At 48.4% G+C, this 25,758-nt stretch overlaps 2 protein-coding genes across 13 annotated transcripts in view, besides 4 other annotated features; one reads left to right on the forward strand and one right to left on the reverse strand.

Annotated features, from left to right (window-relative positions):
• The window catches only part of POMGNT1 (protein O-linked mannose N-acetylglucosaminyltransferase 1 (beta 1,2-)), a 31,623-nt gene extending 7,925 nt beyond the window's left edge, over positions 1-23,698 (reverse strand). For 3 of the 12 annotated variants that reach the window (XM_006710756.2, NM_001438686.1, NM_017739.4), the window contains exons 1-4: positions 1,729-1,827; positions 1,095-1,264; positions 363-477; positions 124-242 (exon numbers count right to left, since the gene is read on the reverse strand). In XM_006710756.2, the coding sequence (XP_006710819.1) occupies positions 124-242; positions 363-477; positions 1,095-1,214 (354 nt within the window). In that variant the 5' untranslated portion in view covers positions 1,215-1,264; positions 1,729-1,827. Of the gene's footprint in view, positions 1-123; positions 243-362; positions 478-700; positions 943-1,094; positions 1,265-1,443; positions 1,828-23,097 lie in introns of those variants that run through there. The other 9 variants (NM_001290129.3, NM_001438691.1, NM_001438688.1 and 6 more) reach the window with 6 other exon arrangements.
• Positions 1,756-1,955: a silencer, noted in NCBI's record as "silent region_837". NCBI's record gives its function as "represses an Ori minimal core promoter by ATAC-STARR-seq in GM12878 lymphoblastoid cells {active_cell/tissue: GM12878}" and the evidence as "EXISTENCE:reporter gene assay evidence [ECO:0000049][PMID:35858748]".
• Positions 6,648-6,767: a silencer, noted in NCBI's record as "silent region_838". NCBI's record gives its function as "represses an Ori minimal core promoter by ATAC-STARR-seq in GM12878 lymphoblastoid cells {active_cell/tissue: GM12878}" and the evidence as "EXISTENCE:reporter gene assay evidence [ECO:0000049][PMID:35858748]".
• On the forward strand, positions 6,727-24,649 carry LURAP1 (leucine rich adaptor protein 1). Its single transcript, NM_001013615.3, has 2 exons — positions 6,727-7,017; positions 23,092-24,649. Exons 1-2 carry the CDS (start codon positions 6,820-6,822, stop codon positions 23,611-23,613), a joined length of 720 nt encoding a protein of 239 aa, NP_001013633.1. The 5' UTR covers positions 6,727-6,819; the 3' UTR covers positions 23,614-24,649.
• Positions 21,548-22,049: an enhancer, noted in NCBI's record as "NANOG-H3K4me1 hESC enhancer chr1:46683827-46684328 (GRCh37/hg19 assembly coordinates)". NCBI's record gives its function as "activates a minimal SCP1, AML or CMV promoter by ChIP-STARR-seq in primed H9 embryonic stem cells {active_cell/tissue: H9 hESC(primed)}" and the evidence as "EXISTENCE:reporter gene assay evidence [ECO:0000049][PMID:30033119]".
• Positions 22,823-23,323: an enhancer, noted in NCBI's record as "H3K4me1 hESC enhancer chr1:46685102-46685602 (GRCh37/hg19 assembly coordinates)". NCBI's record gives its function as "activates a minimal SCP1, AML or CMV promoter by ChIP-STARR-seq in naive H9 embryonic stem cells {active_cell/tissue: H9 hESC(naive)}" and the evidence as "EXISTENCE:reporter gene assay evidence [ECO:0000049][PMID:30033119]".

The following is a 25,758-nucleotide window of genomic DNA, read 5'->3' on the forward strand; positions in this document are numbered from 1 at the left end:
CCAAAGTCACACAGCTAGAAACTGGCAGAGTTGCAGTTCCCACTTAGGCAGTAGACCCTGCTGCCAGTGGACCATGCCCTGAGCAGAATAGAGTGACTGTACACCAGACCCTGGCCCACTGACCGTGGTGCCATCCACTGCCACATATACTTTGCTGCGACTTGAATACACCTCTACGTCCAGGACCCGCCGGGGACCACTGCCTCTGCGCCGTGGGGGCTCCAGGCGGCCTAGGGCCTCATCTGTGGGGTACAACAGGTCATGGAGATAGTCTCCTCAGCAGAGTCTCACCGCTTAGGGTCTGCCTGCCACTCCAGCTGTGAGATCCAAGGCCCCCTACCCCATCCTTAGCCTAGCCCTACCATAGTCTTGCTCTGGCTCTGGGTCTTCATTGGCTTCACTGATGGCTCGCCGAGTGTCCAGGATCAACTTGATATTGACAATGACAGTCACCAGCAGGAAAAGCACGGCCCCTGTCTGAGGGGAGGGGTAGGGATGATTAAGAGGAGCACCTCCTTCAGATCCTAGAGGGTCTTTCTGAAAGGAGGGCCCTGGCTGCAGTGAAGACATCCAGAGAAACTGGGTCCTGTCCCTTCCTCTGTCTGCCTAGCTCTACTCCCCTGACCAGGGCCTAGTTTCACAGCCACTTTCCCCAGGGAACCTCCCCTGACACTTCCCCCTCCATTAGGGCCCTCCCTACCCAGTGCTCCTGTATTCTTCTATTTGAGACCTTGATTTCCTTGGTCCCCTCCATTGTTGGTTTCTAGAGATGGAGCCAGGCCCAGGGACCCAAGCGGGGGATCAGACCTGGGTCCTGGCCCTAACTGCCTCACAGGGGTGTGCCTCTCTGCAAAGCCAGCCTGATCAGACTTCAGGCTTCCGTCAGAAGCTTAGAAGTTGTACTTGGGTTCCGATTCCAGAACTTTGGGTTCAAATCATTACCTATAGGGACATGACACATAGAGGTCTCCCCTCTAGGAACCTGCTGCCCCTTTCCCACTGGGGCTGGCCAACAGGGGTCCCAGTGCCTGATTTAGGTGGGGAGGAAGCTGGGAGGGAGCGCTCGGTGGGGAGGGTTTGGGACATCTCTATACCTGACAGAATCTCCGCAGGGCCCGCTGGTTTGTCAGTTTATACTTCCAGGTAAGGTACCAGCTCCGCTTCTTCCGAGCCCCAAAGGGCTTGATGAGGGGGCTGGGCTTCCAGTCGTCCATACCGGATTGGCGGGTCACCAATGTCCTGGCCAGCCCATGACTTCAGGAATCTGAAGGGACCAGAGGGCCACATGGGGTAAGATGCTCCTCCCAAAGTCTGATGCCTTCTGGGGAGATGAGGGAGGACCTCCCAGCAACTCTTCCCTGCAAGCACCCATACTGTGTGACATGGGGAAAGTGGCTCAACTTCTCTGGGCTGGCAGGAAACCCTTCAGTGGGGTTGGATCACCTGGAAATTCCCTGAGACTGGAGTAACTCTCTGAATCAAGGCTGTCCAAGGGTGGAGGCCAAATAATCGGCTCAAAGTTCGTTAGCCCCTACAAGGACCAAGTTCCAGGCCTTCCCAAGCCTGTGGTGAGCAAAGAGCGACCTCTCCTGCCCCAGTCTTCAACCCTCGTCCCATCCTATCTGCCCCAGCTTCTCTCCTCCTCCCAGGGCCCGGAGCCGCCCGAGGGCTCAGGAGACCTGCACCGGCAGCGCTACCCGTTCCGGACACCCACGCGGAGGCACTCACGGCTTAGGGGCCCCGGGCCCCGCTCGGGCCCCGCTAGGGCCCTCACTGCTCGGCCCGGCTCGCCGCGGCCTCCGCCTCCTCCATGCCGCTTGCGGCCCCGCCCCGGCCTGGCCCGCCCCCCCGCTTCCGCCGCCGCCGCCGCCGCCGCTGCCGCGGGGTGAGAGGGCGACGGGCGGTGCTTAGGGCGGCGGCGGCGGCGGCGGCGGTGGCGGCAGCGGCGTCGGGGTGTAAGCAGCCAGCGAGTAAGGCGAATGCTCAGACCGTGCTAGGCAGCTTCGCAGCCCGGCTGGCTGGTGGGGCTGCCTGCACGAGAGCAGCCCGCTCCCCAGCACCGCCGATGGCAAGCCCGACTCCAGTCAGAGGCCTAGCACCTTGGACCAGATCACAGGGCACGCCAGGGTCAGAGGGGCTGCAACCCTTGGACACAGGGCACACACCACCCGCCCCATACCCGTCCTGGGCAAGGCCGTTACCTAGTCCTGGGGCATGCACAGCTATTGGAGGCCAAGGGAGATTAAAATCCAGGTTCTGTCACTGTTCTAAGCACCTTACTGATGATGTTTAATTCCACAACAACCCCATGAGGTAGGCGCTATTATCATTATTATTGTTTTTTTTTTAATTGAGACGGAGTCTCGCTCTGTCGCCCAGGCTGGAGTGCAGTGGCACCATCTCGGCTCGCTGCAACCTCCGCCTTCTGGGTTCAAGCGATTCTCCTGCCTCAGCCTCCTGAGTAGCTGGGACTACGGTCGTGCGCCACCACACCCAGCTAATTTTTATATTTTTAGTAGAGACGGGGTTTCACCATGTTGGCCAGGCTGGTCTTGAACTTCTGACCTCAAGTGATCCGCCCGCCTTGGCCTCCCAAAGTGCTGGGATTATGGGCAGTGAGCCACCGTGCTGGCTATAGGCGCTATTACTATCCCTGTCGCAGATAAAGAAATAAGACCTAATATCACAAAGCTAGGAGAGGTGGAATTGAAACTCAGCCTAGCTCCAGATTCTGCTCTTAACCACTGCACTCTGCTGGCAACAATACATAAGAATTGCCAGGTTTAAATAACATCATACATAGAAAGCAGTTAGCTTAACACAATGGTTCTCAAACTTTAGCTTGCGTCAGAATCACCTGGATGACTTCTTAAAACAGAGGTGCTGGGCCCCATCCCTAGAGTTTTAGATTCAGTGGTCTGGGGCAGGGTGGGATTTTGCATTCCTGAGAAGTTTCTAGGTGATGTTGATGCTTGTTTGAAGTGGATAGCCATAGAACAGTTTTAGGCAGGGGAGCAATATAATCCAATTTCTGTTTTAAGAGAACCTTTACTTTTTTTGTGGAGAATGGGTTGGAAGCAGACAGAGGAAGCCAGAAGACCAGTTAGATTTTTTTGAGCTTTCTGTATTCCATCTGCTTCCTGAATGGTGGGGTAATATCCCCCAAAATGAAATGTTAACAGTACTTGTCTTAGGAGTTAAAGAAATACATGATTTTTCCTAGTAAGTATGTATAAGAATGGAAGAAAACCCAACACATTTTATTACATTTGAAAAGATGTCCCGGCTGGGCACCATGACTCACGTAATCCCAGCAGGTTGGGAGGCCGAGGTGGGGTGGTCAGTTGAGGTCAGGAGTTTGAGACCAGCCTGCCCAACGCGGTGAAACCCCGTCTCTACTAAAAATACAAAAGTTAGCTGGGCGTGGTGACAGGCGCCTATAATCGTAGCTACTCAGGAGGCTGAAGCAGGAGAATCGCTTGAACCTGGGAGACAGAAGTTGCAGTTGAGATTGCACCACTGCACTCCAGCCTGAGTGACAGAGCAAGACTCCGTCTCAAAAAATAAAAAAATAAAAATAAATAATTAAAAGATGTCCCTCAGGGTTCCTTCCTGACCCTCTTTTCTCCTCAAACTGACTCTTCATGGATGATCTCATTCTCTCATGACCTCTGTTACCAATCTAGATGCCCAAACTGACATTGGCAGTTCTAACCTCTTTCCTGAGCTCCAGGCTGCCTGATGTCCAGCAGGACATCTTCACAGGCCCCTCTAACGCAACAGCACAACTTCTGGAATCATTTCCTTTCACTCCTAGATTTCCTGTGGGTTCCCCTCCTCAGTGAACTGCACCAGGCCAAACAGCTGGGAGTCACCCTTGACTCCTTGTCTGTCTCCAGTGACCAGTCCAGGTATGTCTTGCTCACCATTGTATTCTCTACACCACACACAAAGGCTGGCACATAGTAAGCTCTCCGTAACATTTGTTGAAATCATTCATTTGTATTTTTTAACAAATTTTTATTGAATGCCACTATAAATGAATGTAACCAGTCACCTAGTCCTGTCAGTCTTACCTCCTAAAGAGCCTTCCATTCTAGTCTAATTCTTCTTTGACCTCACAATCAGCCCCAGTGCAGGCCATTTCAGTTTCTTGCTTTCCAGCCAGTCTCCTTGACTCTAGATTTTTACTCCTCCTATCCTTTTCTCCTTGCAAAATCCAGAGTGATTTTCTTTAAGGCAAATGTTGCCGGGTTCGGTGGCTCATGCCTGTAATCCCGGCACTTTGGGAGGCCAAGGCGGGTGGATCACCTGAGGCGGATGGATCCGCCTGGCCAACATGGTGAAACCCCGTCTCTACTAAAAATACAAGAATTAGCTGGGTGTTGTGGCAGGTGCCTGTAATTCCAGTTACTCAGGAGGCTGAGGCAGGAGAATGGCTTGAACCTGGGAGGCAGAAGTTGCAATGAGCCAAGATGGTGCCACTGCACTCCAGCCTGGGCAACAGAGCCGGACTCTGTCTCAAAAAAAAAAGACAAATGTTTTGTCTATCTCTAACTTAAAACCCTTCCATGGATCAAAAAGTACCAAGGAAAATGATGTTACTTAAAATTATAAAGGTAGGCCAGGCATGGTGGCTCATGCCTGTAATCCCAGCACTTTGGGAGGCTAAGGTGGGAGGATTGCTTGAGGCCAGGAGTTCGAGACCAGCCTGGGCAACATAGCGAGACTCTATCTAAATTTTAAAAAAAGTTAATTACAAAGGTAACCTTAGATGAACTAAAAAGAGTGATAGAAATATGTAGTGCCAGGCCGGGCGCAGTGGCTCACACCTGTAATCCCAGCACTTTGGGAGGCTGAGGCAGGCAGATCACGAGGTCAAGAGTTCGAGACCAGCCTGACCAACATGGTGAAACCCCCGTCTCTACTAAAAATACAAAAATTAGTCGGGCATGGTGGCACGTGCCTGTAATCCCAGCTACTCAGGAGGCTGAGGCAGGAGAATCGCTTGAACCCAGGAGGGCAGGTTGCAGTGAGTCAAGATCGTGCCACTGCACTCCAGCCTGGGCGACAGAGTGAGACTCCATCTCAAAAAAAAAAAAAAAAAGAAAAAAGAAAGAAAAGAAAAGAAATATATATTGCCAATGGGGGAAAGGAACTACAGAGTGTGAGTTAAACCCATATATCCATATTTATCTGAATAGGACAATAAACAGCAGATGAATGTTTAAAATTGAGAAGTAGTGTGGCTGGGCATGGTGGCATACTCCTGTAGTCACAGCTGCTTGGGAGGCAGGAGGATTGCTTGAGCCCAGGAGTTTGAGTCCAGCCTGGGCAATGTAGGAAGACCCTGTCTCTAAAAAAGAAAAAATAGTGGTAGGATTTACAATAAGAGGATAGTTACTCCTACCCTACCCTTTCACACCTCTAGGCCCACTCCCAATTGGCAACCACTTTTAGTTAACTCTAAACAATAACGTTATGGGTATGAACACCAAAAGAAAAAAAAAAACTAAAAGTTATTTTTTGCCAATTGGGAGTGGGCCTAGAGGTGTGAAAGGGTAGGGTAGGGGTAACTATCTTCTCATTGTAAATCCTTCTGCAACCATGGGCTGGAATTACTTGAATTAAAAGCCTAAACAAACCAGAGTTTTCATGGCTGTTCATTACCTGTTAAATAAAACCCAAACATCTCAGAACCATTTTCTGTAACCTTGTTACTCAAAGTGTGGTCCCTTATTACTTGAAGTGTGGACCAGCAGCATGGCCATCACCTGGGAGCTTATTAGAAATGCAGGATCTTGGCTGGGCGCAGTGGCTCACACCTGTAATCCCAGCACTTTGGGAGGCCAAGGCAGGCGGATCACTTGAAGTCAGGAGTTCAAGACCAGCCTGGCCAACATGGTGAAACCCTGTCTCTACTAAAAATACAAAAATATTAGCTGGGCATGGTGGCGCATGCCTGTAATCCCAGCTACTCAGGAGGCAGAGGCAGGAGAATTGCTTGAACCCAGGGAGGCAGAGGTTTGTAGTGAGCCAAGATCGCGCCACCACGCTACATCCTGGGCGACAGAGCGAGACTCTGTCTCAAAAAAAAAAAAAAAAAAAAAAAAAAAATGCAGGATCTCAAGCCCCACCCCAGATTTACAAAATCAGAACCTACATTTTAACAAGATCCGCAGATAATTCATACGCACAGTCAAGCTTAAGGAGCATCTTGCTTGTAAGCCCAACGTGGACCTCTTCAGCTTCAGTACTGGTTGCCCTTTTCTACTCCGTTAGCCTGAATTCTAGCCCCTGGGGGGGGGGGGTGGTGTGTGTGTGTGTGTGTGTGTGTGTGTGTGTGTGTGTCTAGCTAAAATCCAGTCATCGTTTTATACCCAATTCCTCTGCTCCAGGAAGACTTCCAAGCCCTCTGCAGCTCTCTGTTACCGCTGTTCCTTAAACTCCCACATCTCTGACTGAAGCTGCTTAGACTTCATTCTGCAAACATGTATTGGGCGCCTGCTGTGTGCCTGGCTGGATTCAGTGCCAGGGTGGGGCGAAGGCGCTGAGGTCTCCGAGTGCTCTTTCAGGTCCAACTCCAGAATCGCCCAGCCCCACGCAATCCAGGGCCAGAGGTTGTGTGCGCAGCACTCGAATACATCCACAGACGGTGCTGCGCGGCTTTTCTGAGTGTTACGGCGCCCTCCTCCCGCCCCCGCGCCGCGCGGGCGGGGACCCACCGGTTTTGCTCCGCTTTAGCAGCGGCGAAGGGAGGACCCCCGGGAGCCGGTCCCCGGCGTCCGGTCGCCCAGCCCTTTTCAGGCTTGGGCCCGCATGGAGGGGACCGTGGAGTCCCAGACGCCTGACCTGCGGGATGTGGAGGGTAAGGTGGGCAGGAAGACCCCTGAAGGGCTGCTCCGCGGGCTGCGAGGCGAGTGTGAGCTGGGAACCTCTGGCGCCCTGCTGCTCCCAGGGGCGTCTAGCACCGGCCACGACTTGGGGGACAAGATCATGGCGCTGAAGATGGAGCTGGTGAGTGCTGAATCCATGGGCCAAGGGGACGAGTCCCTAGTGTAGGGCCGGGAGGGACGAACTCATGCTCCCAGAGTTAAGCTGGAGAGGAGGTAGTTAAAACTCTCCACCTAACTGCTCAGAATCCCTCCCAGATCAATCCGTAAACGCTGGGGTGGAGATGGAGTGACGTCCATTACTTGTCCCCCAAGAGTGAGTGGGGTGTTGATGGTCCTGAGGACTTGGGTTGGGAGCAGTGGGTTTTGGAAGTTATTCCTGCCAAATAATTGGGAGGAGAGAGATGAGGACTGGGAAGTACTGAGAACCCAACGCAGCACAAATTCCCCCCGCCTGTATGGGCCACCTATTCCCCGCCAGTCCCCGTTGTAAGGCAACCGGTTTTTTCTCCTTCTGCTAACCGGGAAAGGGTTTAAGTTCCTGTGAGGCCGCAGTGTTCCGCACAGAAAAGAAGTGGGTAAAGGGGCCTATCTGCTGAAAACTACCTGGACCAGGGGCACTGAAAACCTTCTCCGTTTCCTCTACATCCCCCAGCCCTACTTAAAATAATGGAAAGTTCCTAGACCCATAGCAGGGACAGAGAGTAGCAGCACCACTGGTGCTGATTCCCTCGCCTCAGACTCAGTCTCCTCCCAGCCAGTCTTCCAGGTAAACTGGATATTTGGATCTCATCTGTACATTCTTGGGGAGAAGAGGAAACAGCAACCCTCCCCTTTCTCTATTGCTGCTGGTCTAGATTCAGAGCCAAAAGGGCAGCCGAGGCCCTGGCAGGTTCCCCAGGGCCCTGATTCCGGTGAAGTGGGTGATTTACACCTGCCACTACTTTGCAGCCAGTTCTGGGGAACTGAGGAATTGCCATCGGCTTCCTGGCTCACAACCAGGAGCCCACAGTGAGTACGTCAGCTAAAGTCTTCCTGTGTGCCCAGCCTGTGCCAAGCTGGTCTGTGAAGGAGAAGGGGAAGGAAATCATGGGGGCTCTGAGACCAGCCAGGGCTCCGACGCCTGAGCTGAGAGGCTGGGAAGAGAGTCTGGTGGGTGGAGCAGTCAGGAAAGGCCCCCTGGGAGAAGGACTTGAATGCCAAGTGTGCACTTGGCCTTGAAGGTTGGAGGTGAGTGCCCAATTCTCCAGAGCAAGGCTGTGACTGTACCCACCTAAGCGGGGGCTTGCCTTTGCCTCACTGTACAAACTTTAGCTCAAGGCCTAGTAAGAGCCTATCTAGACTGTCTACTTGCTTTGAAAACTTTCACCCAGTGCATGTGCCAGGCAGCTTGCTGAGCACTTTACATGATGCTCTCTTCATCTCCACAGTAACCCTGTTAAGTGATATTTTATAGATGGAGAAACTGAGGCACAGGGTGGGCATGGTGGCTCACGCCTGTAATCCCAGCACTTTGGGAGGCCGAGGCAGGCAGATCGCTTGAGCCCAGGAGTTTGAGACCAGCCTGGGCAACAAAGCAAGACCCTGTCTCTACAAAAAATACAAAAATTAGATGGGTGTTGTGGTGTGTGCCTGTAGTCCTAGCTACTCTGGAGGCAGAGGCAGGAGGATCACTTGAGCCCAGGAAGAGGAGGTTGCAGTGAGCTGAAATCGCACCACTGCACTCCAGCCTGGGTGACAGAGCTCAGAGCTAGACCCTGTCTCAAAAAAAGAAGGGGAAGAAGGGGAGGAAGGGAGGAAGGGAGGGAGGGAGGAGAAAAGAAAAGAAAACAGAGGCACAGGGAGTTTAATAACTGCCCAACATCACGCAAAAAGCAGGGCCATGATTTGAACCCAGATCATCTGACTGCACTTTGCATCTTTACTTTGAGACCTGCTTTGTGCCAGATAGTCTGAACATTTTATGTCATTGAAATGAGAAAACTGGTCATCATTTCTCCCATCTTACAGATAAAACGTGCTTGCAGATTCTGAACTCACATAGGGAGTCAGTGGAAGAGCCACGCCCAGTCTCTGGCTCTCTTCTCTGCCTTGGTGGAAACTATCTGTAAACTTTAAGGGGCTGCATTTAACTTTTGATTTTGTCTCTCTGTATTCTTGACCCAGCTTGCCTGGGGCCTGAGGCTGCCCGAGAAAGGGCACAAGGGAGGGAGCCTTCTGGGGCCAGAATGAGGAGAGATCCCCATCCTATTTTTTCTCCTTCCTCAGGCCAGGATGTTATTAATATTAATCTCTTCTTGTGCTCTGCCCTGCCTACTGGGTTGCACCCAGGAAGGACAAGGGGTGGGGCAAGGGATTTGCCTTCGGGCTACTGAAGGCAGGACTGGTTCAAGCCCTCTAAGGACTGTCCTTCAATTGTTCCTCTCCCAGCTCTCCTTGCACAAAGGGGGAAGGCCTACCCTTGAGGCCAAGGTCAGTCCTGCCTCTAGGCCTCGTCCCTCCTGCTTTCTTCCTCTACCCTCCATTCAAAGGTTGAGTGAACAAGCCAGACTGGGATATGTGGGAATGGGAAACAGTGGCAACTTCTTCTTAGTTCTCCCACCCAAAGAACTGTTGCTATGACAACCCACCTCCACAGAGGCAGTTTGAGAAAAAGCTTTAGGCAAGGAAGAATGCACGGGTTCAAGTCTTGGCTCTGCTTCTGAAACGTTTTGTGGTCTTGAGCAGCACTCTGTCTCTCTCCTGGCCTCAGTTTTTCCTCCTTTTGGTGGAGGGGGTAGAGGGAGATGGGGACTGTGAAACCAGATGATTGTTAAGAACCTTTATAGTAACAATATTCTGATAGTCCCCGCTCTGGGAGCTCGGACTGGGATTTCCAGGCTTTTACCCTAGGGCCTGATTTATATTGAGCAATGAGGAAACCATACAGGACCCCAGCGCTGGGCAGAGAGTCTGGTATGTAGATGTTAAGGAGAGGAGTAGGGAGCCTGAATCTCCTTGGAAGGAGAATTGGGTTTGGAGTCGCCTCTGAGGCTGCATCTCTCCTGAGCTGTTTATCCTATACTCTATTTTCTTCAAGAGATGGTGTGAAAAGAGTGTTTCTTTTTCTGGCAAGAAAACCTTGCTTTCTTCTATTCTGGGAGTGATGCTGTCACAGTCAGGGAATCCCACTGCCACAGGATTATAGAATCTGCTCTCAGATTTATTTCCCAGCAACACACTACAACCCAGACCCCTGAATCCTGGGAACCATCAAAGGGGTCAAGGATAGTAAAGGCAAGAGAATCACAGAACTGAATGTGACCTCCTTAGCACTGGGCCAAGCACCAGAAATGGATTGGGCAGGATCTGCTCTCAGGGAGCTCACAGTCTGGTTAGGGAAGGAGGAGACAGAAGAACATTTCTAGTACAGGATGATAAGTGCTGGTAGAACCCAGGAAGGGCCTCCTGGAAGAGTCTTCACTGTAGAGTGATGTGGTTGGGTTTGTGCTCTAGAAAGTCGATTTCAAATTGGAAGGAGGCACAGGCTGTTTCCTCTGCTTGAAATGCTTCTCTCCACCTCTTTGTCTGGCTGAGTCCTTCTATTTTTTTTTTTTTGACACAGGGTTTCACTCCCATCACCCAGGCTGGAGTGCAATGGTACAATGTCGGTTCACTGCAACCTCTGCCTTCCAAGCTCAAGCGGTTCTCCTGCCTCAGCTTCCTGAGTAGCTGGGACTATGGGCATGTGCCACCACACCTAGCTAGCTTTTGTATTTTTAGTAGAGACGGGATTTTGCCATGTTGGCCAGGCTGGTTTCGAAGTCCTGACCTCAAGTGATCTTCTGCCTCAGCCTCCCAAAGTGCTGGGATTACAGGTGTGAGCCACTGCGCCCATCCTAGCTGAGTCCTTCTTAACCTTAAATTTTCAGCTCATGTCCCTTATCCTAGGAAGCATTTCCTGACCTGGTTAGGTTATGGCCCTCTAGGTATCTACAGTCCTCTGTATAGCAGTTGTTTCCACTAGCGTTTGCCACACTGAACTTTTCTTTCTTTCTTTCTTTCTTTTTTTTTTTTGAGATGGAGTCTCGCTCTGTCGCCCAGGCTGGAGTGCAGTGGTGCGATCTCGGCTCACTGCAAGCTCCGCCTCCTGGGTTCAGCCCATTCTCCTGCCTCAGCCTCCCGAGTAGCTGGGACTACAGGCACCTGCAAACACACCCAGCTAATTTTTTGTATTTTTAGTAGAGACGGGGTTTCACCATGTTAGCCAGGATGGTCTCGATCTCCTGACCTCGTGATCTGCCTGCCTCGGCCTCCCAAAGTGCTGGGATTACAGGCATGAGCCACTGCACCTGGCCTGAACTTTTCATTTTTAAATTATTTATTTATTATCATTATTTTTTTTGACACGGAGTTTCGTTCTTGGCGTCCAGGCTGGAGTGCAATGGCGTGATCTCGGCTCACTGCAACCTCTGCCTCCCGGGTTCAAGCGATTCTCCTGCCTCAGCTTCCTGAGTAGCTGGGATTACAGGCACCCGCCTAGTTAATTTTTGTATTTTTAGTAGAGATGGGGTTTCACCACGTTGGCCAGGCTGGTCTTGAACTCCTGGCCTCAAGTGATCTGCCTGCTTTGGCCTCCCAAAGTGCTGGGATTACAGGTGTGAGCCACCCCACCAGCCTTATTTATTTTTTTAATAGAGACAGGGTCTTGCTATGTTGCCCAGGCCAGTCTCAAACTCCTGGCCTCAAGCAGTCCGTTTGTGTCAGCCTCCCGAAGTTCTGGGATTGCAGGCTGAGCCACAATGCCAAGCCAACCACACTGAATTTTAAGTGCTTGCTTCATTGTCTTATCTTACCCACTAGATTATGAACCTTCTGAAGGTAAGAAATGATGCCTTTTCTTTCTTCATCGAACATAGTGCCACACCAATAAGAAACAATAAATATTGGTTCCATAACTGAATGGATTAATTCCATCTCGAGGAAGGGCAAGGAAGACTTCCTCGAGGAGGTGACATTTGAGCTGGGGCTTGAAGAATGAATAAAGTCAGTGGGAATTCCAGTTCAAGATACCAGATTGAGGGCCGGCACGGTGGCTCATGCCTGTAATCCCAGCATTTTGGGAGGCCGAGGCGGGCGGATCACCTGAGGTCAGGAGTTCGAGACCAGCCTGACCAACATGGTGAAACCCCATCTCTACTAAAAATACAAAAATTAGCTGGACGTGGTGGTGCACCTGTAATCCCAGCTACTAGGGAAGCTGAGGCAGGAAAATCGCTTGAACCCTGGAGGCGGAGGTTGCAATGAGCCAAGATCGTGCCACTGCACTCCAGCCTGGACGACTGTGCAAAACTCTGTCTCAAAAAGAGAAAAATAAATAAATAAAATAAATAAAAGGCATGAAGCCGTTATGACAATGAGAATAAGAGACAAGGTAATAGGAACAAAATTTTGGAAACTGAAATTCAGAAGGAAGAGTGGTAACTAACTCAGACCTAAAAAATGCTCAGTCCCGAGCCAGCAGTGGGGAAAGCTGAAAAGCAACACTTTTTTATTTTGTGGGGGATAGAGTTTTGCTCTTGTTGCCCAGGCTGGAGTGCAATGGCGCAATCTTGGCTCACCGCAACCTCCGCCTCCTGGATTCAAGCAATTCTCCTGCCTCAGCTTCCCAAGTAGCTGGGATTACAGGCATGTGACACCATGCCCAGCTAATTTTGTATTTTTCGTAGAGATGGGGTTGCTCCATGTTGGTCAGGCTGGTCTCGAACTCCCGAACTCAGGTGATCCATCCGCCTTGGCCTCCCAAAGTGCTGGGATTACAGAGCCACCGCCCCCTGCCAAAGCAACACATTTTATACTGCAAAAACCCTTAAAGGTCTTAGGGGTTGGAAGCACCAGGTATTTCTGGAACTGGGGGCACAAGTGGGGCTGAAAACAAAAGGGCTGGTTGAATGTTTAAAAGTCATATTCTAAGATCCCCTCCCTAACTGTGCAACCAGGTGCCACCTAATTCTTTATCTAGCAGAAGACTGGAGATGTAAGTTCTGTTGTTGTTTTCTTTTTTTTTTTCTTTTTTTTTTTTTGAGATGGAGTCTCGCTCTGTTGCCCAGGCTAGAGTGCAGTGGCCCAATCTCAGCTCACTGCAGCCTCAGCCTCCCGAGTAGCTGGGATTACATGCACCCGCCACCACACAGCTAATTTTTGTATTTTTAGTAGAGACGGGGTTTTGCCATGTTGGCCAGGCTGGTCTTGAACTCCTGACCTCGGGTAATCCACTTGCCTCAGCCTCCCAAAGTGCTGGGATTACAAGCATGAGCCACCATGCACGGCTGTAGATGTAAATTTTGGAAAGAGGAAGGAAGGGAGGGATGGAGGGAGGCAGAAAGGAAGGAAAGGAGGGAGGGGAAAACAGCAGGACAAGTGTTTTTAGTATGAGGAGCTTTGTTTAATGTATTTAGTTTGGTCATGGACTAGGACAGTTGTCTTCACTGTTCATATATTTGTCTCCAGGATGAAATAATTGAAGATAATCTCCTTTATCAAGTTAATAGTCTGTACAGTCTGATATTGCAGTTATTTATGTTCATCTCCCCTTATTGAGACTGCAAGCTTCTATTAAGCAGGAACAATTTCTCCATTATCTTTGTAATTATTAGCAAATCCATGTACCCAATAGTCATTTGTTCAATTGAATTAGAGTTGTGATATTCTTCCAAAAACACAAATAATTTCAGGTATAAAATTTTTTTCTATGCTTTTGCCATAGTGTTTAGAAAACCCTAAACTGTGTGTGTGTGTTTTTTTAATTTTTTCACTTAATGCAACACAACAATAATCATTAATACAGAAGACCCCAAAATATATGAGGATTTCTTCCCACCAGCAAGCAAGCAATCAGTTCTGCAGCAGATACCAGCTGGGTGTCTACTAATTTAATTTCAACTCTGTCTACCTGGAGACAGTGTCACATCCCACAGGTTGAGGGCTCAGTCCCCAAGACTGTCCCCCTCTTCAGACACTAGTCGTAAATCTGGGCCTCCTGACCTTCTGACCAACCAGCTTCAAATTGGGGTTCCTATGACCCCCTCCTTGGGTTTGATTGGTTTGCTGGTGTGGCTCACAGAACTCAGGGAAACACATTTACTGGTTTATTATAAGGATATTACAAAGGATATAGATGAAGAGATGCATGGGGCAAGGCATACGGGAAGGGGTGCGGAACTTCTGTGCTCTCCCTGGGTGCACCACCCTCCATCTGTTCAGCTACTTGGACGCTCTCTGAATCCTGTTGTGGGGACCTTTTTTTATTTTTTGAGACAAGGTCTGGTTCTGTTGCCCAGGTTGGAGTACAGTGGCTCAATCACAGCTCACTGCAGCCTGTACTTCTCTGGCTCAATCAATCCTCCCAGTTCAGCCTCCTAAGTAGCTGGCACTACAGGTGTGCAATACCACACTCACCTAATTTTTTTTTTTTTTTTTTGGTAGAGACAGGGTTTCCCTGTGTTGCCCAGGCTGGTCTTGAACTCCTGGGATCAAGCGATCCTCCCACCTCAGTCCCCTAGAGTGTTGGGATTACAGGCTTAAGCCACTGTGCCTGGTCCTTTGGGCCTTTTAAAGAGACTTTATTGGTTGTCCACGATTGAAACATGGACAACCATATCAAAATGTTATTGGACAAAAAGGGTCTGATCAAAACCCAGCAAAGCCTGTCTGTTTAGATTCTTATTGGCCTCTCTCTGCGGCATTCCTTCCTCCAGGGTATGAGTCAGGACCTTCTCTGGAATGAGGGTCTTATGACCCACAATCAGATTAGAGTTCTACTCTGGGAAGGTGAGAGGAGAGCAGGAGAAGGTCAGAAAGAGACTGTTTCCTGAAGCCTATTTCTGAGTGCCCCAGCATTATAACAAACACTGTAACAATGGCTATGGGGCTTATGAGCCAAAAACTGGATGAAAACCTGCACACACACACACACACACACACACACACACACACACACACAGTAATATCACAACTAGTAAATAAGTCGACCATAGTAATATGTAGAGCCAAATAGCCTACCATTTATTGATTTACAGTATTATACTTGTCAGATGGTATGCTATGCATGTTAATATGTTCCTTCGATGTCTCATGACAAACCTTTAGATAGTACCTCATATTATAATAAAGAAATGAAGGTTTAAAGAAATCAATTTTAATTTCATATGGCTCATTAATGGCAAAACTGGAACTCAAATCTAGGTCCATTTAATTCCAGTGTCTAATTTTCTCAATGTACAAATATATATATATATTTTTTTGAGACGGAGTCTTGCTCTGTTGCCCAAGCTGGAGTGCAGTGGTGTGATCTCGGCTCACTACAACCTCTGCCTCGGTTCAAGTGATTCTCCTGCCTCAGCCTCCTGAGTAGCTGGGCTTACAGGCGTGCGCCACAACGCCTGGCCAATTTTTGTATTTTTATTAGAGACGGGGTTTCACCATGTTGGCCAGGCTGGTCTCAAATTCCTGATCTCAGGTGATCTTCCCACCTCGACCTCCCAAAGTGCCGGGATTACAGGAGTGAGCTACCACACCTGGCCTCAATGTACAAATATTAATGCATGGTCTTACTCTGGTTTATCATAGATGTGAATAAAGCAGTTATTTCCTGAATAATTCAATAAACATTTTTCAAATACAAAAAACATTTACTGTGTTTGTGTGACCTGCGGGATCTGACCTGTATATGTAAATACACATACACACATAATGACGTTTTGGTCAATGTCAGACCATGTATAACATAAACAACCATGTAAATTTTTTTTTTTTTTTTTGAGACGGAGTCTTGCTATGTCATCCAGGCTGGAGTGCAGTGGCGCGATCTCAGCTCACTGCAAGCTCCGCCTCCCGGGTTCATGCCATTCTCCTGCCTCAGCCTCCCCAGCAGCTGGGACTACAGGCGTACACTGCCACGCCCAGCGAATTTTTTTGTATTTTTAACAGAGACGGGGTTTCACCGTGTTAGCCAGGATGGTCTTGATCTCCTGACCTCGTGATCCGCCCGCCTTGGCCTCCCAAAGTGCTGGGATTACAGGCGTGAGCCACTGCACCCGGCCAAATTTTTTTTTTTGAATCAGAGTCTCGCTCTGTCACCCAAGCTATAGTACAGTGGCACCATCTCAGCTCACTGTAACCTCTGCCTCCCGGGTTCAAGTGATTCTCCTGCCTGAGCCTCCCGAGTAGCTGGGATTACAGGCAAGAGCCACCATGCTTGGCTAATTTTTTATTTTATTTTATTTTATTTTATTTTTTTGAGACAGAGTCTCGCTCTGTCGCCCAGGCTGGAGTGCAGTGGCATGATCCCAGCTCACTGCAAGCTCCACCTCCCGAGTTCACACCATTCTCTTGCCTCAGCCTCCTGAGTAGCTGGGACTACAGGTGTCCACCACCACACCTGGCAAAAATTTTTTTTGTAATTTTTAGTAGAGACGGGGTTTCACCGTGTTAGCCAGGATGGTCTCGATCTCCTGACCTCTAGTGATCTGTCCTCCTCAGCTTCCCAAAGTGCTGGGATTACCATATAAACATTTTGATCAATGATAGACTACATATGTCAAATAAACATTTATCATGTGTGTATATATGCACATATATATAAACATTTATGTGTATATAAGTGTGTACACATACACAAATATTTATATGATGTTTCAGTCATCATACGACCAAAACATACGATGTTTCGATGAACAGCATATACCATAGTGATTTCATAAGATTATAACACAGCATATACACAAATATGATATATGGCACTTGATATTGGCATAGCAGATCAAGTAGGGATTGATATTCAGTAATTGTGCTGGGACATTTTGTTTTCCATATTTTAAAAAGTATATAAATTTTTTAAAATGTCATCTAGTTTGTGCATTTACCCTGTCATATTTGCACGGCAGTAAAACCTCCTGCTGGTGTATTTCTCTAAGCATATCCCCATTGTTACGTGACAAATGACTTTATATATGGAGAATAGAACAGAAGGTCTCTAGATTAAAAGACACTGAGCATAGTTGAGGACAAGAGGGACTAAATAAAAATACACTAAATACGGCCAGGCACAATGGCTTACGCCTGTAATCACAGCACTCTGGGAGGCTGAGGTGAGGAGTTTGAGCCTGGGAGTTTGAGGCTACAGTGAGCTATGATCATGCCACTGCACTCCAGCCTGGACAACGTAGCGAGACTTTGTCTCTACAAAAACTTTAAAAAGTACTAAATATCATGAAATACCTCTCCAAGCCTTTACCCCTACTTGGCTCCTAGGATACTGACAGCCTTGCTTACGTTATACTCTCTAGAGTGGTATAATATGGGGAATATGATTAACTCAAGAAAAAAAAAAAAGATACAGACTTTAGACCTCCAATTAAACAGCCCAATCAGATCATCCTGTAGTGAGGCTCAGAGTTGGCAAGCTTCATACATACACGGTTTCTAGTCATTGTAGAGATCCACTCTGAAGGGTGAGCAGCAGTTAAAGATGATAGACATCTGACCCTCTATATAGACCTAAATAAATAGGAAAAAGCAACTTGAGGCCGGGCATGGTGGCTCAGGCCTGTAATCCCAATACTTTGGAAGGCCGAGGCTGGATGATCACTTGAGGTCAGGAATTTGAGACCAGCCTGGCCAACATGATGAAACCCCATCCCTACTGAAAATACAAAAATTAGCTGGTTGTGGTAGCGGGCACCTGTAATCCCAGCTATTCAGAAGGTTGAGGCATGAGAATCGCTTGAACCTGGGAGGTAGAGGTTGCAGTGAGCCGAGATCGTGCCACTGCACTCCAGCCTGGGTGACAGAATGACATTCTGTCTCAAAAAGAAAAAAAAAAAGGAAAAGAAAAAGCAACTTGAATGAAATGGAGATAATACAGAGAGATACGAACTTATAAAAATCATTAAGCATATCCTTAAAGAGATAAAAGATAATACTGTAGCCATGAACAAAAACAAGAAGGTGTAAAAAGGTAAACATTCAGAGAACTAGAAACAGCACTTGGAAATAAACACATCATGGCGGGGAAAAGAAAAAAGAAAAACCAAAGAGTTGATAATAGGCCAGGTGTGGTGGCTCATGCCTGTAATCCCAGCACTTGGGAGGCCAAGGCAGTGGATCACCTGAGGTCAGGAGTTCAATAGCAGCCTGACCAACATGGTGAAACCCCATCTCTACTAAAAATACAAAAATCAGCCAGATGTGGTGGCAGACACCTGTAATTCCAGTTACTTGGGAGCCTGAGTCATGAGAATCACTTGAACCCGAGAGGCAGAGGCTGCAGTGAGCCAAGATGTGCGCCATTGCACTCCAGCCTGGGGGACAAGAGTGAGACTCCATCTCAAAAAAAAAAAAAAAAAAAAGAGGAGTTGATCAAGTTGAAATATTTCAGAAACTAGAGCAAGTATAGAAATAGATGTGACTGGGTGCTGTGGCTCACGCCTGTAATCCCAGCACTTTGAGAGGCCAAGGCAGGTGGATCACAAGGTCAGGAGATTGAAACCATCCTGGCTAACATGGTGAAACCCTGTCTGTACTAAAGATACAAAAAATTAGCCGGGTGTGGTGGTGGGCACCTGTAGTCCCAGCTGCTTGGGAGGCTGAGGCAGGAGAATGGCGTGAACCCGGGAGGTGGAGCTTGCAGTAAGCCAAGATCGCACCATTGCACTCTAGCCTGGGCGACACAACAAAACTCTGTCTCAAAAAAAAAAAAAAAAAAGAGATGCAAGAGTGAAAAAAACAAAAACAAAAACATAGAGGATCATCAGTTCAGGACACCCTCTGTCCAAGTAATAGGATTCCCAGAAAGAACAGAAAAATACTGGAGGATAATCATCAAAGAAATAATTTTAAAAAATCTCCCAGAACTGAAGAACGTCAGTTTCCAGATTGAAAAGGCCCATCAAGTGGCTAACTCAATAGATGAAAATAACCCACACCATGGCAAATTGCTGTAAAAACAGAACACTGGGAACAAAGAGAAGATCCTAAAAGCTTTCAGCAAGAATGGGAAAAGGGTCACATACAAAGGATCAGGGATTGGAATGGCATTAGATTTTTAAAGGCTAACACTGAAAATTAAAAGACATGGAGGCTGGGTGCCATGGCACATGCCTCTAATCCCAGCACTCTGGGAGGCCAAGATGGGCAGATCCCTTGAGCTCAGGAGTTTGAGACCAGCCTGGGCAACATAGTGAGACCCCATCTACAAAAAAAAATTTAAAAATTAGCCAGGTGTAGGTACATGCCTGTAGTCCAGCTACTTAGGAGGCTGAGGCAGGAGGGTTGCTTGAGCTCAGGGGATCAAGGCTGTAGTCAACCATGATTGTGCCACCACTGCACTCCAGCCTGGGCTATAGAGTAAGACCCTGTCTCAAAAATAAAATACGACAATGGAACAATGCCTTAACCCCTGAGGAAGAATTATTTTCAACCTGGAATTCTATATCCTGCCAAACTATCAATAGTGTGAGGAAAGATTAATAACTTTTTAAAAATAATTTCAACTTTTATTTTATCTTTTTTTTTTTTTTTTTTTTTTTGTGACGGAGTCTCGCTGTTGCCCAGGCTGGAGTGCAGTGGCGCGATCTCGGCTCACTGCAGGCTCCGCCCCCCAGGTTCACGCCATTCTCCTGCCTCAACCTCCCGAGTAGCTGAGACTACAGGCGCCCGCCACCTCGCCCAGCTAATTTTTTGTATTTTTAGTAGAGACGGGGTTTCACCGTGTTAGCCAGGATGGTCTCTATCTCCTGACCTCGTGATCCACCCGCCTCGGCCTCCCAAAGTGCTGGGATTACAGGCATGAGCCACCACGCTCGGCCCTATTTTATCTTATTTGAGAGAAATCTCATTCTGTCACCCAGGCTGGGTGCAGTGGCACCACCATGGATCACTGCAGCCTTGACCCCCCAGGCTCAAGCAATCCTCTCACCTCAGCCTCCCGAGGAGCTGGGTCTACAGGCACATACCACCACACCTGACTAATTTTTAAATTTTTTGTAGAGACAGTGTCTCACTCTGTTACCTAGGCTGATCTCAAACTCCTAGACTCAAGTGATCCTCCTCTCTTGGCCTCTCCAAGTGCTGGAATTACAGGCAAGAGCCACCATGCCCAGCCCAACTTTTATTTTAGATTCGGAGGGGGGTACCTGCGCAGGTTTGTTACATGGGTATATCACATGATTCTGAGATTTGGGATACTGTTGAACCCATCACCCAGGAAGTGAGCATAGTACCCAACAAATAATTTTTCAATCCTTGCCCCCACCTCTCTCCCTCCTCCAACAGTCCCCAGTGTCTATCATTACCATCTTTATGTTCATATACCCAATGTTTAGCTCCCATTTATAAGTTAGAACATGCAGTATTTGGTTTTCTGCTCTTGCATTAATTCACTTAGGATTATAGCCTCCAGTTGCATACATGTTGCTGCAAAGGACATGATTTCATTATATCTTATGGATGTGTAATAACATTTTAAAACATGCAAAGCTTCAATAAATTTACCTCTTATGCCAACTTTCTCAGGATGCTACTAGAGGGAAAGAACCATTCACCCAAATGAAGGAGTAAATGAAAAAAGAAGATATGGAATCTAAGAAACGAGGGATCCAGCTAAGGAAAGAGGCAAAGGAATTACCAAGATGATAATGGAGGGAGATCCCTGGAGGGCAATTGTGCAGCAAGGACAGATGGAAGCAGAGCAGAGGGCTCCTTAAGAGATGCCTCTCAGAAGATGGAATAGATAGAACGTGTCATGCATTCAAAAGCCTGGAGAGGGAAATTCAGAGAATTGAGGGAGTGTTTGAGGTTGACTTGCTGATAACTACATAGCAAACTAGGCAATATAATAATAATAATAATTCTAAGGATAAAATGTTGTAAGAAATAAAAAGTAACTATAGTAAACTACATGGCTTAGCTGTGAAGAGCATTTCCAAATCCTAATAAAGTAAACACTGAGTAATTTTATTGCCTATTAGGAGGATGGAAGATGGGAAGGGTATCTGTATGGCAGGGGAGTGGGGAGTGGGATGAAAGTTAAATCCTGCCTGGGCGTGGTGGTTCACGCCTTGTAATCCCGGCACTTTGGAAGTCCAAGGTGGGCAGATTATTTGAGGTCAGGAGTTTGAGACCAGCCTGGCTAACCTGGTGATGCCCTGTCTCTACTAAAAATACAAAAATTAGCCAGGCGTGGTAGGTGATACTTGTAATCCCAGCTACTCAGCAGGCTGAGGCAAGAGAATCGCTTGAACCCTGGAGGCGGAGGTTGCAGTGAGCTAAGATGGCGCCATTGCACTCCAGCCTGGGCAACAAGAGAGAAACTCTGTCTCAAAAAAGAAAAAAGAAAGTTAAGTCCCTAATCTTATATAGTGTGGGAAATCAATAGAAAATGCCTGAAATTTAAATACCAAGAAATAGCAATATAAATATGGAGATTAGGAGGTAAATACCAAAATAAACAACTAAATAAATAATAATAGTTGTTTCTGGGAAGTAGGACCAGGATGGGAGAACTGTTCATGTTCATAATCTTGTGGAACTGTTTGCCTCTTTAATCTCTGTGCATCTGTTACTTTGATTAGAAATAAAACTGGGCTGGGTGTGGTGGCTCACACCTGTAATCCCAGCACTTTTGGAAGAATTGCTTTGAGCCTAGGAGTTTGAGACCAACCTGGGCAACAAGGTGAGACCTTGTCTGTACAAAAAATAAAATTAGCCAGGTGTGGTGCACGCCTGTGGTCTTAGCTCCTTGGGAGGTTGAGGTGAGAGAATCGCTTGAGACCAGGAGATGGAGGCTGTAGTGAGCCATGACTGTGCCACTGCACTCTAGCCTGAGTGACAGAACAAGACCCTGTCTCAAAAAATAATAATAAAAGTAAAACTAAATAAAACTAGTTTTAAAAAGTCATTTGTGGCAGCACCTTGGGTTCACAGAGCAGAATGCTAGAGGCGAAACTATAGAGATGGGCGAGAGCCACATGTTACAGGCTTTTGAATGCCAGTTGCTAAAATGTTTAGATTTCATTCTCTAAGAGGAGGGCGGAGTTCCCTGCTATTGTAGATGTTCGGATTCGGCACTCTCTAAGAGCAGTGCAATGCCTATAAAGGCTCTTGAGCAGGGAGAGACAGGTTCAGACTTGTGCTTAGGGAAGGTAACAGTGCATCTGAGCTGGAACGGACGCTTGAGATTACCCTGTAAGTCAAATTTACTTCCAGTACAGACAGGTAGACTGGTGTGTACAGGCAAGAAGGCCTGAATGCCCAGCCAGTGGGATTCTGATCCTTCTAAGCTCTGGCCAACCCTTTCCCCTCTCGGTGGCTGCTACCAATGCCCTGAAAAGACTAGGGAACCAGGTTAGCTCTCTTTATTCCCCAGCTCCTGCCTCCTTTTGGCCCAATCTACTTCCTGATTAACACCCTATCTTGCTATTCTTTGTTTCTATGTCTTTCTGGTGAATATGGGCAGGCTCAATAGTCAGTACCCTGTGGCTGGGCATGGTGGCTCATGCCTGTAATTCCAGCACTTTGGGAGGCTGAGGTGGGCGGATCACCTAAGGTCAAGGGTTTGAGACCAGCCTGACCAACATGGTGAAACCTGTCTCTACTAAAAATACAAAATTAGCTGGGTGTGGTGGTACACGCCTGTAATCCCAGCTAATTGGGAGACTGAGGCAGGAGAATCGCTTGAACCCAGGAGGCGGAGGTTGCGGTGAGCTGAGATCGCGCCATTGCACTCCATCCTGGACAACAAGAGCGAAACTCCATTTCAAAAAAAAAAAAAAAGAAGTACCCTAAATATGAAGTTCAAAGCTTAATAGGATTGGATTTTAATACTTAACATTTACTGAGACCTTCCTCTGTGCTAGGCACTGTGCTGAGTACTTAATAGACAGCATTTCAGAATCCTCACAGCTACCCTGTGAGGTAAGTGATTTAATCCTGTTTTACAAACAAAGAGACTGAGGCTCAAAGAAGATATGTCTAATCAGTGGTAGAGCTGAAATGTTAGGCAGCAGTCTGTCTGCTTCTGAAGCCTACACTGCAAGCCGTTATAATTCCATCCGTCTTAAAGTGAAACATGGTTGGCTGAACCACAAGGTAGTGGCCTGTGGAAACGCTGGGGAAACCCATGCCCCAGAACTGGGACTAATTCCTTCTCCCACTCCCCCAGGCTTACCTGCGAGCCATCGATGTGAAGATCCTGCAGCAGCTGGTGACCTTGAATGAGGGCATCGAGGCAGTGCGCTGGCTGTTGGAGGAGCGGGGGACGTTGACCAGTCATTGCAGCAGCCTCACCAGCAGTCAATATAGCCTGACAGGCGGGAGCCCAGGCCGCTCAAGGCGAGGCAGCTGGGACAGCCTGCCAGACACCAGCACCACCGACCGGCTGGACAGTGTCTCTATTGGCAGCTTCCTGGACACAGTGGCCCCCAGCGAGCTGGATGAACAGGGCCCACCTGGGGCTCCACGTTCCGAGATGGACTGGGCAAAAGTTATAGCTGGTGGAGAGAGGGCCAGGACTGAGGTGGATGTGGCAGCCACCAGGCTAGGGAGCTTGAGAGCTGTGTGGAAGCCCCCAGGGGAGAGGCTTCAAGGTGGACCACCTGAGTCACCAGAGGATGAGAGTGCCAAGCTGGGCTTCGAGGCCCACTGGTTCTGGGAGCAGTGCCAGGATGATGTGACCTTCTTGTAACAACTATTCCACCCTTTTGTAATCCTGTGGCTCTTTTATCCATTAGATGTGGTCTCCCCCAAAATTGATTCTCCCTCAGTCTGAGACTAGGAAGAGGCTGCACTGAAATCAGTTACCATGGAAACCTGGCTCATCATTTCTCTAGTCCCTAGGGAGTCTCTGCCTTTATCCCTCAATTATTGGGTCCCTAGAGCTAGCTTGCTCTTTCTTTCTTTCTTTCTTTTTTTGAGACAGGGTCTTATGCTGTTACCCAAGATAGAGAGCAGTGGCATGATCACAGCTCACTGCAGCCTTGACCTCCTGGGCTCAAGCGATCCTCCTATTTCAGCCTCCCCCATAGTTAGGACCACAGGCATGCACCACCATGCCCAGCTAATTGTTTATTTATTTATTTTTTTTTTGTAGAGATAGGGTTTCCCTGTGTTGCCCAGGCTGGTCTCAAACTCCTGGGCTCAAGGGATCCTCCCGCCTCAGCCTCCCAAAGTGCTGGGATTATGCCCAGCCCCTAGAGATACTTCTATAGAGATATTGACTCTAAAGGATTGACCTATGGCTTTTGGTATTTAGTATCTCTCACTACTCCCCCCAGCTAAGTAAGGATTTAAGGAATTTAGGACTCCCTGGAGTTAACAGATGAAGAGATGGGGGCATAATTACTTCACCCAAAGTCTAGAAGCCTTGGCCTCTCTCTTGGCCAAGATGGAGGATTGAGGAGGGACATGGACCTTCAGGACTAACCCTCTATGGATTGGCCCTCCCAGAAGCGTTTGGGCTGGTAGACCCACCCCTTCCTACCTGCTGAGTGATGTCATTTCCTGCCAGGATGGGTAGCCCTTTGTACGGGTCCTTGGATGGTAGTAGGTCATATAGGGGCATCTGAGCCCCTGCTGCTAAGTGAGATCACATTATTTATCGTCCATACCATTACTTCTTGTGAACAGTAACATGTCACTCCTCCTGGCAGGAAAGTTTCTCATTGTCAGATGTTTGTGCTTCTTTTCAGGTCTTACTTTTTAAATAGAGTGTTCTCATTTTATCCTAGGGGATCTCACTTCCTCTGTGGCTCCATCCCTGCATCCCTGTCTGGGCCAGCACTCCTGACTGCTTTTAGGGAGAGAAGCTTTCAGGGGCCTCCATTTATTTCTCTCAAGTCTGTTTGGCTCACCCTGCCATGGTCCCCTGTCTTACCCTGTCCCTGTGTTGCCCCTATTCCTGTATTCCATTTTTTTGTTTTGTTTTGTTGTTTTTTTTGAGATAGGGTGACAGGGTCTCCCTCTGTTGCCCAGGCTGGAGTGCAGTAGTGCTCACTGCAGGCTCGACCTCCTGGACTCAAATGATCCTCCTTCCTCAGCCTCCCAAGGAGCTAAGACTACAGGCATGCATCACCATGCCTGGCTAATTTTTGTATTTTTTTCCAGAGACAGGGTTTCACCATGTTGCCTAGGGTGCACTTGAACTCCTGGGCTCAAGCAGTCCTTCCGCCTCAGCCTCTTAAATTACTGAGATTACAGGCATGAGCTGCTGTGTCTGGCCCTATTCCTGTATTCTGACTCCATATCTCCCTTCCAGGAGGTTCAGCTTCTGTGTGTCCATGCCTTTTCAGTTTCTCCAGGCCTTTTATATGCAAATGAGTCCTGGCCTCCTCTGCCCTTTGTTGATGGGAGCCAGGGAGAGAGAACCTCAAGGTCTCAGAGCTCTGGGGGTGTACCAGAATCTTGGATAGGGGAGGTGTCATCCTTTCTGACTTTGTGACTGCCCTTCCCCCACCCTGTCCCCAGCCTTCCACCATTTGGTCACAAGGATGCCTGCCTGAGGTCGGGACACAAGGAATCTCCTTGTCTAGGCTGCAGCGTGGGGGCGTGGCAGGGAAAGACAGAAGCTCTTTGGTCCCGGGGCCCCATCCTGGAAAAGGAGAGGGAGCAAGGGAAAGGCCTGTTTACTTCCTCCCTTAGAGCAAGCCCTGACTCCCGGAAACTGAGGAGAGAGCAGAGCCTGGGTCTCTGAGCCTGGGTCCCAGAGCCCTGCCGAATTACAAATTATATCATAGAAGGAATTCAGGGAAGCTGCCAACCTGGGGCTCAGAGGGGACGGTCCCAGAGATGGGGACAAGAGCTGTGGCTGGTGTCAGAGAATGAATTCTTAGAG

The sequence above is a fragment of the Homo sapiens genome, chromosome 1 (genome assembly GCF_000001405.40).
Source record: "Homo sapiens chromosome 1, GRCh38.p14 Primary Assembly".
Taxonomy (NCBI): Eukaryota; Metazoa; Chordata; class Mammalia; order Primates; family Hominidae; genus Homo; species Homo sapiens.